This window comes from Homo sapiens, chromosome 11 (assembly GCF_000001405.40).
Source record: "Homo sapiens chromosome 11, GRCh38.p14 Primary Assembly".
Classification (NCBI taxonomy): Eukaryota; Metazoa; Chordata; class Mammalia; order Primates; family Hominidae; genus Homo; species Homo sapiens.
The window spans coordinates 78,750,839-78,770,043 of record NC_000011.10 but is presented as its reverse complement, the minus strand read 5'-3'; the positions used below and the strand labels follow the sequence as shown (position 1 = coordinate 78,770,043).

General features: G+C 46.1%; 1 protein-coding gene across 10 annotated transcripts in view; it reads left to right on the top strand.

The window, feature by feature from the left end:
- The window catches only part of TENM4 (teneurin transmembrane protein 4), a 788,202-nt gene that overhangs the window by 670,987 nt on the left and 98,010 nt on the right, over positions 1 to 19,205 (top strand). For 9 of the 10 annotated variants that reach the window (XM_047426739.1, XM_047426737.1, XM_047426736.1 and 6 more), the window contains one exon: positions 13,023 to 13,239. In XM_047426739.1, the coding sequence (XP_047282695.1) occupies positions 13,023 to 13,239 (217 nt within the window). Of the gene's footprint in view, positions 1 to 2,512; positions 2,616 to 13,022; positions 13,240 to 19,205 lie in introns of those variants that run through there. The other variant, XM_011544933.4, reaches the window with a different exon arrangement.

Genomic DNA, 19,205 nt, shown 5'->3' with positions numbered 1-19,205 from the left:
CTCCCTAATATTTATACCAAAGGACTTTCTAATATGTTGCACAGGGTAGGAAATCAATAGGTCAGAAACTCAGCATCCTAACCTTTGGGAATTTTCTATTTAGAGGGATTCTCAAACCCCAAAGCACCATAAGAATTAAAAGGCCAAGTGTGTGATGTTGTGATTTCTGTGGTTTATTTGCCTTGAGTGGGTTTCAGCAGCCTAGAAAGGGCTGTTTCGGAGCACTGTTCTTTGAGCCAGCCGGCTTTCAGCCCTTCCACCTGCTGCCTAAATCCAGGAGGTAATTGGGCCTGATGTACCCAGGCCTGGGCCCAGTGGAGCAATTGTCAACAGGGAGCTTATGGGGCTGGCCACAGTAGCTAGGCAGAAACAGAAGGCCTATGTTCTCCTGAGGTCTTGGAGGATTGAAATATCCCTTAATCGATCTAAAACTTGTGGAGTTCATTAATTTTTGTGCTCCATAAATATCCAGAGTTCTTATTTTAGAGTTGGGCCCTATACCAGGCATAGAGATAAGGAAGTCCTCTCCCTATATGCCAGGACCTCAAATGAGGGAGAAAGACCCAAAGTTAAGTGCTAATAAACTGTGATAAGTGCTGTTGTAGAGTTATATATTAGTTGTTGTGGGAGTAGGAAAGCATTCATCAGAAGGTGACACTTGGATGGGTAGCGGTTTCCCGGAAAGGAAAGGGCTCTCTATTCAGAGACATCATTATGGGCCAAGCCAGGACAAAGCAGGGAAGGGCACTAAGCACCCATGTCTTCAGACAAGGCAAAGTGTATTTATATTTGCTCTTCGTAGGAAAGAGATGTCAGCCTACATTATCTGCATGATTTCCTCAGCATTCCCCTTCAGTTTGCCTGTGTAGGCACAATTCCAATGACTAATAATAACACTCATGTAATAGAAGAAAAGAAGAGAAGAGCCACCATTCCCTTCTCACAAGTCAAAAGTCTTGGCCAAAGCCTTTAAACAGCTGTTGAACATCTGGGCAGCAAAATGACTGCATGTCTTTAGGAAATGTGGGGAAAGGGCGTACCTCTCTCCCTACCGGTATACATACAAGCGTAGGTTATAGAACAAGGCTCATTGATTCTCTCCCATGAAATGCAATTCAAGTGTATCCTTTGTTTGCCATACTTCAGAGCCAGCCCTCCTAGCACTAGAATGCACCAGTGGTAACATGGGGCATAGGCATACCATAGCCCAAAGCCCACAGCTCGGGGGGAGAGAGAGGTTCTTGTCATAGGAAATGGGGCTGATGCAGACCCCAGGGGAATAGAGCCTCCTTCAGCTGTTCTGAGAGATGAGCCAGTAGGAAGTGGAAAAGATCAACCAGAAAATCCCCAGTTGTGGGAGAATATGCCACTTGCATTTTTGGAGCATGTTATGGGCTGAAATGAGCTTGCACGTAGTTTATTCACTCACTCAACCAATGTTAACCAAGTGTCTACATTGTTATCAGGCCCTGTCCAGGGTACTGGGGCTTCAGCGATAAATAAGACACAGTCCCTACCCTTGTGAAGGTCACAATCTAGAGAGAGAGAGAAACAGCAAGTAATTGCAATGCAGTGGGACAATTGCCAGGATAAAGGAGCATCCACTCATTCAACTGATATCAGATGCCTGGGTGCCCTACTGGGAACTGTGATGTGGTTTCTGTCCCATGGGACTTTCAGAACAGCCGGGAAGACATCCCGTGGGTCATCATGGTTGGAAATAGAACCAGCTGGGAAGGCCAAATTGTTGAGGGTCCTTGACCTTGGGTTCTCAACTATTAAATGAGGAAACGTCTCACCTCAGGGCCCTCTCAGTTCAGTGGGCTGTCCACCCACTGCGGGAGCCAAGGGGAAGGTGCTGAGGACCCCTGCTTTGCAGGATGGCATAGATGAAACAACCATAGAGAGTGGACTGTCCCCAAGTGCCAGGGTAGTAAGGGTTATCCTCATTGGCCTCTATTACTCTGTGCCTTGGCCAAACGGGGGCAGTTTTAGTGGAGGGAGAGAGGAAGAAAGGAGCACAAGAGTAAACCATATTTGCATTGGGCTACTTTCAGTTCAGCCAAGCACACCTTTGTAGGGCTCATGCTATCTACAAGGCACCATGCTCCTTTCCAAGGAGACATAAAGACCAGTGAACATGGCCCAGTCTTTCTCCCTCAAGAAGCTCACAGTCATTTGTAAGAAATTGTCATCCAGATGACTCAATCTAATGGAAGCAGAATTAAATAAGTGCCTTTATTTCAGCCATGACAGGGTATACAGCATAATCCAAGATAAATCATTCAGGCTGGAGGGAAATTGTGTTAGAGTCTCACTAGTGGTTGTTCTTAGATGATATGACTCAAGTCTTGGAGAAGAAATTAACAGAGTTTAATGTTGAGTAACAGGATTGAAAGGGACATCAGAGAACATTGACTTTAACTCCCTCTCCTGCATGTTTACAGACAGGACAACTGGAGCCCAGAGAGGAGAGGTGACATCACACACATCATAATCACAGAGAAAGTCATTACATGGCCTGGACTAGACTCTTCAGCCATTCCACATGGCCTTGTGAACCTAGAGCACTTCTGCCTTCTCCTAGTGATTTATCCTCCACCTAGAAGTGTAGTGTGAGTACTTACTCAGATTTAAATAGGCTGCAGCAGTACCACAAGGCTTACGAGAGCGTAATAACTTGTATGTCACTTTACAGTTTGCAAAGCAATTGTGCATCCATCCAGCAACACTGTGAGGAATGTGGCCTTATTATCCACTTACTATTCCCTCATGATAAGGAAAAGGAAGCTTAGCGATTATTTCGCAGAAGTCACACAGCTGGCCGGTCGCAGAAACTGCCAGAGTATGTGAGGTCTTGGCGACATTAGAGCTTCTCACTGTGTCCAGACCTCTGACATATGGCCCATTGTAGATCCCTGTAGCCCTTCAAGTTATCTAAGATCTCCGGGTTACTCTTCTTTCCCAATTTGCTGGGTTTAAAACAACATATTTTAAATTAAACTTGAATTTCAAGTTTCATAAAGAATGCTACAGCAGTGTTTTTAAACTATGAGACAAAAAGAAAAAAGCTACACTTTGGGAGGCTGAGGCGGGTGGATCACTTGAGGCCAGGAGTTTGAGACCAGTCTGGCCAACATGGCGAAACCCCATCTGTACTAAAAATGCAAAAAATTAGCTGGGCTTGGTGGGGCGCACCTGTAATCCCAGCTACCTAGGAGGCTGAGGCACGAGAATCACTTTAATTTGGGAGGCGGAGGTTTCAGTGAGCTGAGATTGTGCCTCTGCGCTCCAGCCAGGGCAACAGAGGAGGACTCTGTCAAAAAAAAAAAAAAAATTGGGGGAGCCGAACAGTATGACTGAGCCAGGGAGCAGCTTTATTAGTTTGTTTTTATTTTCATGTATGGTTGTTGGCTAGATTTAAAAATGGAAACAAGATCCCTCACGTGACTCGATGACTGCCAGTCTCCTGATGCTCTCACCTTGGGCACTGGCTCCTGAGAGGGACCAGAAGGTAGACAAGCAGAGGGGCCCTAACTCACCTACTCAAAGTGAAGTCTCTATGTGCCCCACTTGACAAAGAAGGTGTACCCCATTCATACTGTGTGCTTTGAGAAGCCCCTTATTAGGTACAGACACATGCATCTTCTGATTTTATCCTCTTATAGGGATGTTTATTCATGCCCATTTCAAAGATGGTGACACCATGCCCCAAAGATGCTAAGTCACTGTAAAATGAGGATAATAATGCCCACCTTGCAGGGCTGCTATAAGGATCACAGGTTATATATTGAAAGGCCCTGAGAGGCAACATAGCACAATGATTAAAAGTACAAGATCTGTACCCAGATTATCTGGATTCAACTCCTGGCTCCCTGATTTGCTCACTGTGTGACCTTGAGTGATGTACTTAACTTCTCTAAGACTTAGTTTATCAACTACAGATATCAGTTGTTTCTCCTGCTTCTCTCCACCTGCAATCACAGAAACATGATATTTATTATAAAATATGTATTTGTAAATATTTTTAAAAATTGGAATTATGTCCTCTATAAAATTTTACATTCTATTTTTTCATTTAAGATTATGGTATATTTCTCTATATAATATGTTTTCATCTTTTTCATTTTCTGTGTTAAAGTCTGTATTCCAAACTGTTACACGCTCTTTGCTAGAAAAGAATCCAAACGTACATAAAGGAAAACAGCAGCCATTTTTGAGCACATTCCTGAGTGCCAGGCACTGTGCTAGACGCTCTGCGTACATCATCTCCAGCCTTTACAACAAAGTTGCAAGGCACACATTTACATACAGGGAAACTAAGGCTCAGAGAACTGAAATGATTTGCCCAAAGTCACACAGTGGCTCAGCGGGAGAGCTAGGATTAGATTGGAACCTATGCTTTTTAAAAAGCCTCCAGGATAAAAACTCCACTGGATTTTAAGCAACCAGTCCTCTTCTGATAAAGGATCTTTAAGCAGCTTCAAGGTATGATAATCTCTTTTGGTGCTCTTGTTCCCATGAAAAAACAATCATGGGTTGCAATAGATAATTGATATATGCAACCTAGAAGGAGAAATTTCAGGAAAACTGAGAACAAAGGTCTCTGTCTTCTCTTTTCCTCCTCATCTCTTATTGCTGGAAGGGAGAGTTCACATAAAGCCAAAGAATTTGGTCACCCTTCAAACTATCTCTAAACCACATTTCTCATGATAAGAGACAAGAGAGAAATTGACCTTTAAAAATCTTGTGTTCTAACGGGAAGATAAAGACTTTGCAAGCCTTTTGAAAGAAGGCACAGAATTTATTATAGCAAATGACAAAATCTTCTCCCCAGTGTGTACAGAAGGGGAGACACATTCCACCTTCCACCCCCAGGGCCTCCTCAGATACTATTGTAAAACAGTTCTGTGGCCAGACTGCAGACAAGAGCGAGATATGGTTGGCTAATGGGTCGTCAAGCCAAGGAAGAGTTAAGCCTGCAAAAAGACTGATGGGCTTGCTATACACTGTCCATGGGGCTGTGAGGTTAAGGAACCATGCAAACAACTACAGTACAAAGAGTTTACTAGGCCACGGATTGCCCCACCTTGCCCCCGCCCACACCCCCATTCTCCTTTTTATCCTTGCCCATCCTTCCAGATTCAGTTTAAGCATTCTGTCTTCCAGGAAATAATCCAGCCCCCAGCCTGAGTTGGGGTCCCACCTTTGGGCTTCCACAGCCCCTTCTACTTCCTTCTTCTCCAGCACTCAATTGTCTCTGTCTGCCCCACTACACCAAATCCTTTAGAGGCGTGACTCTTTTATTCCTGAGCATCCAGTGCCTAACACAGGTCCTGCCAGCCACATAATGGGTACTAAGTGAACGTTAACAGGCATGTTCCCTGTGTCTCTTTTCTAAGGAGAGGGATGAGCTCCTCCTGTAGGGAATGGCTTCCACCACACCCCATGGCCCTTGATGGGCCCTGTCAAGCTGATGGAGCTGTCTAATTTGAGATTCTTACATAAAAAAATGCATGCATTTATTCATTCATTCAACCATTGTGATGCTTACTGTGTGCAAAGCACTGTGCTGTGCATTTGAGATACAGAAATAAACAAGTCAATTTCTGCCCCACGTGGAGAGGCGACAGGGCTTGGAAGCCAGAAAATCCAGAGCATTGCTGTAAAGAGTTGTCCACTGTGGAATTGTGCCTAACAGCTCGATGTACAGAAAGATAATGGACCAAATTCCCAGTTCTGCTCTTTAACTAGCGGTACGATGTCAGGGAAATTACATAACCTGAGCCCCAGTGTCCTTATTTGTAAAGGTGAGAAGGTTGGCCTTGCCCCCATCTTTAATAGCACGCTCCTGCATACCTTTTACTTCCTGTGAAAGTCACAGCAAGCTGGCCACCAGGGAAAATGGGTCTCTGGTGTGTAAAGGCCAGGAGGTGGCCATCAGACAGGCCCACAGCCTTGAGACTGCCCCATGTACTCTTGGCCTCCCTGATAAGGACGCAGACACAAGAAAGGGAAATGAGGGGCCCAAGGGCCCACCAGTCACTGGCCACCATTAAGGTCACACAACAAACAGGAAGCCACTTCTAGTCAGGACTGCAATTGTTCACTTGGCCTATGTCTGAGCCCAGCCCCTGTCTCCAGAGGGAGCTCCAGAGAACAGCTACCAGCATGGGAAAGACACTCAAATTTCTTTTGTTGACTTACTCGTTCACTCTTTTAGACTCTGGAGCCCTTCAGCAATCCTGAGAGGTTGGCAGAGCCTAGTATCCTGGTTTCACAGGAGCAAATTGCGTCTCGGGCATAGGAAGGGTGTGCCCAAGGTCTCATGGCCAGAGAGGGGCAGATACAGGGGAGAGGCTAGGTCTTCAGGCATCTAGCTTGGATTTCTTTCTCCCACACACCCCTTTCCCTCGTTCTCCGGGTCATTTGACAACTACCTGCAAGGCAGGCATCAAAGAGGGATCTCAGTGAGAGTATGGCAGGGCCTTCATCCTCCAGCCAGAGCACATAGATGAAAACGTTAGCAGAAGCCAGCCCTCCATGCACCAGCAGCATGTGAGCACCACAGAGCTTCAAGTTCAAGGGTCAGGAATATGTGAACCACTTTGGATTGTTTCATTGAGTGCCCCCAGATGCTGGCCCCCCTTCTTTTTTTCCCCCTTTTCTTTGCCCTCCACTCCCCATCAGGGGCCACTCGAGTGCAGCATGGCTGCATCCCTAGCGTCCAGGGCCTGCCTGGCCTTTTTGACATTTTCTTCTGCCTCTTTTCACTGTCACCATGTAAAAGGGGGTGTGTGTTTAGAACTATGAGGAAAAATGAAATTTCCGGGAAAAAAGTTATTTCCCAAAAGCTGGGGTTTAGGAGGGTTTTACAGAAAATTTGAAGGACATAGAAGCAAACCCTCTGCTTTCCTGATTTCTTTTTCTGCTGTGATAATGAGGGTCTCTGAATGGGGATAGCAAATATACAAAACACAGAGAATTTATAAGTCAACCAACTTACGTATGATATATAATTAAGTGAGATATGAAGTATTTGGAAACTATAAATGTTTCCAAGCCACCCAAAAACCAGAGAATCCCCCAAACTGTGTATTAATATGTTTCTAGTCTATCCCAAAAATTACATTTCTGTCCCTACAGCACGCTTTTTTTTCCTTTTAATGAGAATCTTCTAAAATTTGTCATCTATGCCTAAGAAAATTAAATTGGGAGCCATTCCCCCTCACTGTAGAACAGCCATATGCACTGTTTCAGGCCACCATATGCTACATTTGAAAATAAAAAGAGGGTTTTACTCAGAAGCTGGTCTTGTAAACTGCAGCCTTTGAAAAGAATGCTGTAAGCCCTACTCATTTGTGTGTCTCATTTATACAGGATTGCCTCCATTGGTGGAAGTTTTGTCCGCAGTTACTACTCAGCAAATATTTGTTAAATAAATGATTAGGAAGCATCACCACAGGAAGGTATAGGCATTAATCACTCCCACCTGGGAAGCATGGAGTAAGACATTCCACAGTGCCAGAGCCTCTCATAAGAGCACAGTTTGTGATATTTCCATTGCAGAGGACCCCAATCTGCAAATCCCCAGAGGCCTCTACTACCCTAATTTACAGTGCATTGCTATGACCATGTTTATCCACTTCAGTTCTCTAAGGCCAAACTGCATTATCCAGAAAGGGTTGTCATGTAATGTGCGTGTAGGGAGGGGCCAGTATAGGGCCTGTTACCAGAATGTGGTTCAAGGGAGGCTCCTGGGCAGGAGCTAATTTAAGTAACTACCATTTGCCAAGTACTTGCTTAGTTGCTAGTTATCGTGCTAAGTGCCTCACATCCATGATCTCGCCTCATCCTCACAGCAACTCTATGAAGTAAGTTTGATGATTCATTTTACAGATCAGAGAACTGAGGCTCAGAGCTCTTGCTGGAACTCTTATTTTCAGCAAAATGGCCAACTAGGTCATACAGAGATTCTCTGATGACAGGGTACAACTGTTCGTGTATAAAATTGAGCAAAGAAGAAAAGGGAGACAAGGGAGCCCTGGATTCTAGAAACAAGATGAAGCTGATGGGCCAGAGCAGTGGGCACAGGAGCCCAAGCTACAGCAGGCCTGGGAGACGTGCAGGATCATCAGCGCCAGGGAGACTCAGAACAGAATAATTTCAGAGTCAGCAGACAGGGCACATCCACAGTGGGAGGTTGGAACTGAGGCCCTGCATAAAGCTGGGATCCTCAAAGGCTGCAAGTCATGTGAGAAAAGGACTAAAAAAAACAGTGCCTACTAGACCAGAAGGATGACATGGAGGCATTTCTCTGCCATGGCTTGTCGGGGCTGGGGGGGTGTGCTAAGAGACCAAGCCTATACCTCAAAAGACCTTGAAATCTAAACTCACATACTAGAGCAGTCCTAGAACCCCAACCTAAGAAATCAACCTGAAAAGTGGTCCCAGACAAATGGTACCCTTGAGGTGGCCAGCTGACGTAATCAGAAAACCACCCTGGGCCAGGCACAGTGGCTCACGCCTGTAATCCCAGCACTTTGGGAGGCCGAGGCAGGTGGATCACGAGGTCAGGAGATCGAGACCATCCTGGCTAACACGGTGAAACCCTGTCTCTACTAAAAATACAATAAATTAGCTGGGTGTGGTGGCAGGTGCCTGTAGTCCCAGCTACACGGGAGGCTGAGGCAGGAGAATGGTGGGAACCCGGGAGGCGGAGCTTGCAGTGAGCCGAGATCACGCCACTGCACTCCAGCCTGGGCAACAGAGCGAGACAACGTCTCAAAAAAAAAAGAAAAAGAAAAAAAAGAAAACCACCCTGGAGGGTTAGTTCAACCATACAAGATTCCCATAGGAAGGCAAGCCTTCCGAGAATTAACAGAATCATAGAACACGTAGGAAATGATTGACCATGAGCTAGAATCAACAACTACAACATGCAGAAGGATGACCACTCCCGAGAACTTAACAGTCTGAAAAAGGCTATAAAATGAATACACTTTTAAATGACTAAAGAGAGAAAACGATATATAAAAACCATAGAACAAGACAATATCAAGAAAGAAACAGGTGGATTTTGAAAAATTCCAAATAGCCTATTCAGAAATTTTAAAGTAAGATAATTTATGACCCGAAGAACAAATTAAACAGCAGACCAGACACAAATGATGGGAAAATAAGTGAAGTAGAATAGAGATTTGAAGAAACAAATCAGGATAGAACGCGGATAAAAAGATGGAAATTAAGGAAGAGGTTGAGTGACATGAAAGCTAGAAGATCCTCTAAGCATTTAGTAGTTAATTTCCTGAAGACTAGAGAGAAAGGGAGAGGAGGATATTCAAAGAGCTCAAAACCAAACTTTGCAGAACTAATGAGAGACACAAATACTAATTAAACGGCCATGGTGTGGCCTATCAGTTCCTATGTGGAGCAGGCATACATGCTGGGTCCCATGCTTGCAGTCAGAGTCTCAGTCTAAAAGTTCCTCTCTAGAAAATGTTTGTCTCATTGTCACAAGACATCCAAGGGAAGTTTTGTGCTTCACGCTTGGCTGTAGAGACAGATTGGTGAGTCTAAGGAATTAACCATCCTTCTTTTTCTCCCCTATTGTGCATATGAAGAAACTGAGGTTTAGAGAAGTTAAGCAACTTGGACCAAGTCACACAGTTTGCATGAGAATTGGGAACTGGGGTCCAAATCCAGGTAGTTTGCCTGGAGAGAGGGCTCTCTTAAGCACCATATGGCCACCGATCACAGAATAAAAGGCTCCGTCGACCTCTGTTGTCCTGTGACGTGGATGCTGGATTAGTGGGACAGGCCTGACCTGGGTCAGTCATTTATTCATCCCTCAAACCTCTGTGGAGTACAGTCACTGTTCCTGCCCAGGTCTGGGCCCTGGGATAATGAAATGAATCAGACAACCCCTGATCTCTAGGAGGTCATCGTTTGGGTTGCAGAGTATGGGGGTCAGGGGACGGAGAGAAAATCAAAATTACAATATTGGAAAGAGACGTACTGTGATGGAAGTTGTCCAAGAGGCTGGAAGAGGCACAGAAGAGTAGTGTTTCACTAAGATTCAGAAATTCATGTTCTCTGCTTAAGAAATAGTTCCTAAAAGTCTCTCCAGAGCTTAAAGAACATTATATGCCTCAGAAAGAACTGAGTTCAGATTCCGAGTCAGCTTCTTCACTGACTACATGACCTTTACCAAGTTGCTTTACCACTTTGAGCCTCTGGTTCCTTTTCTCTAAAATGAGAGTGACAACAGTGGCTACTTCATAGAGGATTCAATGATGCATTCCTTGTAATATATTTAGCAGAATGCCTGGCACTCAATAAATGTGGCAATTCATCATCATCATCGCCATCACTGTAATATAGATATTAATAAGAACAGCTATCATTCCTGGCTAACCTTCCCCCAGGACTAGAGAGCAGACATCCCTTCTCACAGGAAGCAGCTCTTTCCAGGTGCCACAGAGCTGAATGTTTATAAAAGGGTAAAACACAGGCTTCCAGGGACTGCTTTGGTGGTAAACAAGACCAGGAAAGAGCTAATAAAATTTCAAATTAGCCATGACTTTTCACGGCCCTTCAATTGTGCTAGCTGATTTAATGGTCAATGTCCCTGCTCACTGGGATTGAATAATGGAGCATTTCTGCAGAGTTATGGATGCAACAGCTGAATCTGTCATGCTAACATCAATAGCAGAATGCAAATAACCCTCAGCTCGGGCTGTAATTATGTGTTTAAGCAATGTCTGACAGGGGCAGCATGAGAATGTGTGATGGAGGCTGCCGACTGCTGGAGAAGACAGGTGCTTTGCTAGGCAGTTGTATCTGGGAGCTGGGACAGGAGCCACAAGTTAGGATGCAGGTCAATGCTGGGGTGAGGGGAGGCATTCCTTCCGTATCTCAGAGTGAATCTAGCAGGTGAGCAGAGAAAGGATGAATGGCTCTTCATGTTGGTGAGCCATGTTCTAAGTTCAGGATGAGGAAGGGAAACTAACCCAGAATTAAGCACTATGATACCATGTGTCAGATACTATGCTAGATTTGGGGACATAATGCTGCACTTTTTATCTATATAACAAATACTTGTTTGACACTTACTCTTATGATCCCCCTTTAAGAGATATGGGGAACTGAGGCCAGAGAGTTTAAGTAACTTGCCCAAAGTCACACACTAGTAAGTTTCAGTGCCAGGATTTGACCCCAGACAGTCTATCTCTGGAATCCATACTCTTTATCACTATCTGCCTTCAAGGAGACTATAAGCTTCTGGGCACCATGCAGAAATGGGAGAGAAACAGAAAGGCTTTTTGTTACTAATTTATTAAGGAAAAAACTAGGTTTTAGGACAATCAAGTAGCTTACCTGAGGCCACACCACTAGCAAGGAGGATCGGGGACACCAAGTCTAACCAATGCATTTGCAGTACTTTGGTGGGCAGCTTCTGTATTGTAAACTCCATGGAGAAAACTAGAGAAGTAGGTATATCACTGTTACTCCCACATTATTTATGAAATGTGGCTCAGAGAGACTAAGTACAGGAACTTGTCCAGGGTCACTGTTGGGGGCCATACTTGGTCTTGAACTTTAGTCTCTGAACATCATGGTCCTCCTACCATAGCACACTGCTTACCTCAATGGGATGAAGTTACAGTTTTCTGGCTTTTATGGACTGGCATTTGTCACAACCCCTGCTTCACTATTTAATTCATTCAATTCCCATTCATTTATTTGTATAGCAGTTATGTTTTAAGCACTTCCACTAAGTGCTGGAACACAGAACAGATCTGTGCGCTCCCACGGTGGTGAGGAAGTTTCCCAAAGTCACACAGCTGAGACGCAGCAGAGCCAGAATTTGAACCCAGGCAGGAATACATGTCGTTAGACTGTTGTCTGCCGACAAAGCACATAGACTGTACCCCTGGGCTTTTCCTGTCCACCACTTTGGACACTACCTGCTTATCTCTTTGTTATGTATTTTAAGCTGGTCTATTAATATTAGGTGCCTGTAAAAGTACTTTGATATAATGAGGCCAAAAATCTGTGATCTGGTGGACTTTCTTTGTACTTTGGGAAGATAGTAGAGCTGTAATACAAGTTCCAGTCCTGAAGAAGCCCATCCATGTGGTAAAGAGAATTCCCTGCTAATGGAAACTCTGTCAGGGATCTGAAACCATCCAGCAAACTCAAAAAGCACAAATATCCCTGCAGCCTCCTCTCACAGAAAGCAGAGCAGGCCTCCAGAGGACCGAGGATTCAGCCGCAGGCCACACGCTTACACTGAGGCTGGGAGAGACGCTGAGAATTGCTGTGCCTTCACTCCCAAAGCCAGGCAGTCACCAGGGCTTACAGTTTTACCTCCTAAATGTCTCTCAATACCATCTACTTCTCTTAATTGCCACTGTTACTACTGCAGTCTAAGCAACCTTTATTTTTCACCTGTGCAACCTCAGCGATGCCCTCTTCTCCTGTCTGGCTCCCAGCTCCCACTGAGGCCCCCTTTGGTTTCAGGAGTGCACACCAGATGAAGTCACCTCCTGCTTAAAAGCCTTCGGTGATTCCCATTGTTCTGAGGGTGAAATTCAAACTCCCTAACTTGGCCTGCAAGGCCCAGCCTGGTGTGCCCCTGTCAACCTCAGCAGCCTCACATGGTGCTCTTCCACTCACCTTCTGGCCATCAGCATTTGAATATAGCATCACAAATGTTCATGTGTTATCTCACTTCTGGGTCTTCATACATACAATCTCTTCTATTCTCGATGGAAGGAAAAACATACAGTACAGACACTGTACACTTACTGTCTATCTCTCCTTCTAGACTAGTGAGCTAGGACCACATCTGAGTCACTTGCATCTGTTTGGTGCCCAGCAAAGACTTTGGCTTATATCAGCATTTAATAAAGTTTTTGAATGAGTGAAAAATAGAGAAGAAATGAATTAAGGCATTCTGGATAAACATGGCTGATTGAACATAGCAATATAAACCACATGCTCTGTCACTCCTGCAGATGGCCTGGTGGACTGCATGGACCCTGACTGCTGCCTCCAGCCCCTGTGCCATATCAACCCGCTGTGCCTTGGCTCCCCTAACCCTCTGGACATCATCCAGGAGACACAGGTCCCTGTGTCACAGCAGAACCTACACTCCTTCTATGACCGCATCAAGTTCCTCGTGGGCAGGGACAGCACGCACATAATCCCCGGGGAGAACCCCTTTGATGGAGGGTGAGTCCGAGGGCCCCAGCTCCAGCCAGGGCTCTCTGAGGGAGAACTGAATCACTCTAGAGCCTCTTTTGGATGAATGGGGGTGGGAGGAAGCCAGGAACGTGAGAGCATCCATGGTTCCTGATGGAATGTCGGGGGAGGCAGAGAAGCAGCCTCAGGTACCTACATTTATAAAACTACTCTCCAAGGAGTTTGGAATTTTTATGAGCAAAGTTTTGTTGCTCCCACTGGGTGACAGATGAAGACAGTGAGAAACCAAAGGTCCAAGGGGAATCTTGGATCAATACCCACTTTGCAGTCAGCTCTTACTGATCCTGTGGTCTCCAGATGAACTGAAAGGCATTGATGCTGCTCACCCTCAAAGCAGACATCCAGAAGACTTTGCTAGGCAGGGGGTGGGTACATCTGCTGCCATCCCAGGCCACATACCCATACAATCTCCCTGTTTTCAGTTGTGTCATCCATTGGACAATTTTATACGGAGGTCTGTGGCAGGTCCTTTGCTGGGATTGCAGAGTTGAGCAGAACACAGTTCCTGATTGTTGGTCACTCCCAGTCCACTAGGAAGACAAAAAAGGGACAGTTACAGTGTGATTAGGCCAGAACTTTGTCCCCAGGGTACTGTGGAGCACAGAGGATGTACTCCTGGGTAGGAGGGAGGCCAGGGCTTTAGAATCAAGTCTTAAAGAGGAGAGACGGTTAACTAGGCAAGGAAGGGAGAGAGTGTGCCAGGGAGAAGGAAGAGCTCATGCAAAGACCCAGAGACACAAAATAGCTCTCTAATCTCTGCACCCTAGATCAGGGCAGTGAACAGCATATCCAAGAGCAGGGATTTATAATCATTTCTTTTGAATGTCTTCCAACGTAGTGGTGCCTCATATGTGCAGAACTTTCTCTAAAAGTCAGTGTGGTTAATTCAGCAGTCACCGTGCACCTCGTATGTTCATTTTTCTGTGCCAGAGGGTCCCTGTCCTGAGGGAACAATGGGGTAGTGATGGGGGTAGGAAGGGTAAGGGACATTTTCAAGCTCTATTTAAAGGGGAAATCAGCAGGACTTGGTAACTGATTGTGTCTGCGGGATGCTGCAGAGAGGAGTCTCCCGCTTGAATGCCTGGGTAAATGGTGGTATTTTCACCAGGCTGAGGAGCAGAGAGCAGGAGCAGGGTGGGAGCAAGGTGATAAAGGGACACACCACAGTAGGCCACCCACGAGTAAATGTCTATCTGCAGTTAGTAATTCTGGAGCTCATTTAGAGTTAGGGCTTAGAGTTCTTGATTTGGGAGCCATCAATGAACAAGCAGTTGAAACCATGAGCACACAAAAGGTTGCCCGAGGAGGCTGGGCGCAGTGGCTCATGCCTGTAATCCCAACACCCTGGGAGGCTCAGGCGGGCAGATCACTTGAGCCCGGGAGTTCGAGACCAGCCTGGTCAACATGGCAAAACCCCATCTCTCCAAAAAAACAAAACAAAAATTAGTTGGGTGTGGTGGCAGGTACCTATACTCCCAGCTACTCAGGAGGCTGAGGTGGGAGGATCACTTGAGCCCAGAAGGTTGAGGCTGCAGTGAGCCAAGACCGTCCCACTGCACTCCAGCCTGGGTGACAGAGCAAGACCCCATCTCAGGGAGAAAAAAAAACCTTGCTCAAGGGGAATATGTAATGAGAAAAGAGCAGGGACTGAAGAAGAAGCCATGGGGAGCCTCCCTGTGAGGCAGCTGCTGTCATCCCCAGAGGGTGACAAGGGAAGCCAAAGAGAAGTCCTCACTGCTGGAACATGACGGAGCGGGATGCAGACATGCAGGTCTGTCAGACTCGGGAAGGAGCCCCTGCACTTTCCACCACCCTAGCCCATCCTTGCAAGGAGTCGTGACGAGATGAGAAAGGTGAGATGAAGGAAGCCCAGCAAGTGCGTGGCAGAATTCAAACCTCCACCTTTCTAGAGGTGAAGCTACTTGATGGTCCGAACCCTCCAACTTACCCCCGGAGTACTGAGAAGCTGAGAGGTTAAGTAACTTTCCCAAATTCACAAGGCTAGTCAAGTGGCAGAGCCGGAGTGAGGAGAAAACCTATTCATTTATCTTGGCCAGAAATGCTGCTTCTGTCTCTGGGTGGGAAGCTTCCTGCTATTTTCTTCAGTTGTGTGATTTTGTATGTATGCTTGTAGGCCTTCCCACAGTGTGAGTTTTTTTAATCCACTAGAGATATAGCTAATATTCCTACCAAGGAAATTGTCACTTGCTCAGTCATTCTTTACGGGGCCCATTATTGGATCCAATTAGGGCCATGGCTTGTTGGCTGCCTATGGCTGTTCTGCTTACTGGATGCCCTTGCCATGCCAGCCTGATCAATGCCAGCAGGGACACGTCTCCTGTATGTCCTCCTGGTCACTTCCTGAGCCTGCTGCTTAAGCGCCATGAGCCACTGTGGGACCTGCACACAGGTCTCGGTATTGTTGCTCCAGCAAGTCTGACTGGCCTCAAGGAGCCAGCCAAGTATGGAGTTTGAGAAGCCTGTGCTGGGGAAAATGGACCCCTCAGCAGTAGGGAAGACACAGGCCTCAGAGAGAGGCCAGCTTGGTCTTCAGATCCTGGCTCTGCCGCTCTAGATACATAGCTCTGGACAAGCAGCTTAATAGAGTGCATCCTGTAAATGTCTGTCAACCCCTGTAAACCAAGTCCTCCAGGGAAACACTTCATCTTACACATTTTAGCACTTAGTAGTTGCTGAAAACATATACATATAAATTGCCTTGAAGAATAAAGAAATGGAAGAACTGAGGGAGGGAGGAAGGATGGACATATTATCTATTTTACCTAATTTTATACTGAGGATTCAGAGTCCAGAGAAGTTAAATCACCTGCTAAAAATCACATTGCAGATTAGTCACAGAAGCAGAAGAAGTCAACTTTGCAGATCATTGTTTATATATCTGTCACCTTCAGTTGGTTATATACACTTTGAAAACAGAGACCATTCATCTCTCCAAACCTGTAATACTTTGGCCAGGGCCAGGGATATAGTATTTGCTCTACAAATGAATAGATAATGGAAGCTTCCAAAATGTTACTGTCTCTTTAAAAAAAAAAAAAAAGTTACTGTAAAAATTCCTTTTACCTAACATTTGCCAGAATCATTATGTACCAGCTCTTCACTGATCTAGATTCAGAAGAAACAGCTATCAGGAAGGACCCCCAAACAGATTCCTGTGTAAAATATGCCCAAGTGACTAGAAATGTAGAAACATGAGGCAGCAGATGCTTTTCTCATTAGACTAACTACTTGGTATTCGATGATCTTGGTCTGGACCAGTAGGACAGTGCTTATTTGCACAGCTGGGATAAAGTGAAATCAACTACCCAGTTTAAGTAGTTGCTTTCTGTCCTCTCATATGAGGGAGTTTGGTATAATAGCAAGTGCCCAGAGTTACAATCCTGGCTTTACCTCCCACTAGCTGTGTGTGACCTCAGGGAAATGATTTAACCTTTGTGTAGGTGGCTCTAGTTATAAATTGGCAATAATGGTACTCTTTCATGAAAGCTGTTGAAAGGATAAACTAAAATAAAGCACCTGGCCCAGGGCTTGGTACATATTAGGTGATCAGTAAATGGTGGCTTTTGTAGCAGCCGCATATCATAGTGAAAATAGCACAAGCCTGGGAATCTGACAGACCAAGATTAAAAGGCTGTTGCATCCACTTTCCAGTTTTGTAACCTTAGGAAAATTCCTAAATTGTTCACTTATATGAGCTCCAACTTGCTCATCTGTAAGATTAGGGTGTTAACGTCTATGTGTCTAGGGATTGCTATGAGAATTAAATGGGAACAAAAAGTACATAAAGTCTCAACCTAGTACCTGCCACACAAAAACTTGCTTGCTAATTACATGGCGGTGATGATGATGTTAATTAAAAAGAGTTTCCAAATCCACTTCCTTAATGGAAAGTAAAACTTGAGAGGAACCTGCCCTCCAGGTCCAGCGACCACCCAGAGAGGAGGCAGGTTTAGGCTGTTGAATCATTATTTGAGGAAGGGAGAAAAGGCTGCATTCTTGCCAGCCAGCTGTCAGTTGGGATCCTTGTTAGAGTGGAGCCCAGTGGCGTTTCTCCAGAGAGTGGAATTTCTGATGGGGAGGCAGACCTGACTTGGTGCCTGTGTATGACAATTAGGCCTGTGTCCAACCAACAAAACCCCATATTCTCCTGCACCCCATGTGCTGTGCCACAATTTGTAGTTTGAGATTTCATTTAACAGCCTCCAGGAAGCAGGTTGTCACCCAGAACCCAACAGCATTTCTGAGACCAGCAAGGAAAGGCAGGCCTCAGAGTGGAGCTCCTTCTCTCTGCAGATTCCCAGCTGGGTCAGCCTCAGGGAGCCTCAAGTATGAGGCACACTGGGACCTCAGCTGCTGGGACCAGAGGAGGGAGGGGAATTCAAGCCCAGGGCTTGGAGCCAACTGGCCTACCTTGGGTGTGAAAGCAAGCAAGCCAGTCCCCAGCACCCAGGGCTCTCCCCAAGACTCACTTCCTCAGAGGCCAGACCCCATCTCCTGGAGTGATGAAGGCCTCCCTGAGGGGCCCTCTCTGGTTCATCTGTGTCCCCAGGGCCCCGCACAGTGCTGGGTCCAGAGCAGGTGTTTAATGCAGGTTTAATGAATACAGTAGCTCTATCTGACATCCTGCCACTGCTGTCCTCAAACCCACAGAAAGTGACAGAGCTGTGATGGAGAGTGACAGAGATGACCTAAAGTAGGAGGGGACAGAGTAGGCATGGGAACCACTGTCACCAGATTAAGTGGTTTGAATACCACCATTCTCTCCTGGCCTGGATGCCCGGGTCCCATCTGCCTAGTGGAATACTTGTCCCTCCCATGGAGTCATGGGGAGAATACAGTGAAGGGTGTCCACTATTGACACTTAGGAGAGGAGGAGCTCTGAGGTCTGCAGGACCTCCAACTGCACTGTCAATACAAAGAGTCCAGGACACACACTGTGGGGTTTGGGATCAGAGAGCTGGGAAAGGGAGGGCAACGTGAGACATCTCCTGGGCAAGCACTCGAGCCAGAGCTGTTTCCCGTTGTTGGGTGCATCTGTGCTCTTGGGGAGGACTCCTCTGACTGAAAGGGCTGGATGTGGGTCAGATATCCCCTCAGTGAATAGTTACAGGTTGCCGATGCTGGACAGGTTAGCAAGTTACAGGAAGAGGTTCTGACGAACCACCCCCAGGTTATTCAAATATAGATTCAGAATAGGTTTGAGGACACAGTATTACAACCACCCAGAGAGGAGGCAGGTTTAGATTGTTGAATCATTATTTGAGGAAGGGAATTTGAGAAATCATGTGATGGCAAATCTTGCTGGGTTCCTCTAATTCTAATAGGTTATTGGCTCCATCAGGCAATAGATGGTCGTGGACAGGGAGCTACAAGACTCAGCTGACAGGAGACACTGAGCCCCAAGAGAAAAGGCTCAAGAAGTCAGGGGACTTTAGCAAAAGGAAGGATGGGTGACCAGAGAATTTACCCCAAAGGAGGCAGAGAATCGTATCCTATACAGAGGGTCAGAGCCTATGAGGAGGAGAGACTGGGCAGGCTTAGCGAGGGACAGAGCAGAGAAAAACACACAAGCTGCCCAAGCATGCTGGCTCACGCCTGTAATCCCAGCATTTTGGGAGGCCGAGGCAGATGGATCGCTTGAGTTCAGAAGTTCAAGACCAGCCTGGGCAATGTGGCAAAACCCCGTCTCTATGAAAAATACAAAAAATTAGCCAGGTGTGGTGGTGCACGCCTGTGGTCCATGCTACTCAGGAAGCTGAGGTGGGAGAATCACTTGAACCCAGGAGGCAGAGGTTGCAGAGAGCAGAGATCACTCCATTGCACTCCAGCCTGGGTGACAGAGCCAGACCCTGTCTCAAAACACAGACACACAGACACACACACACACACACACACACACACACAAGCCTCATTTG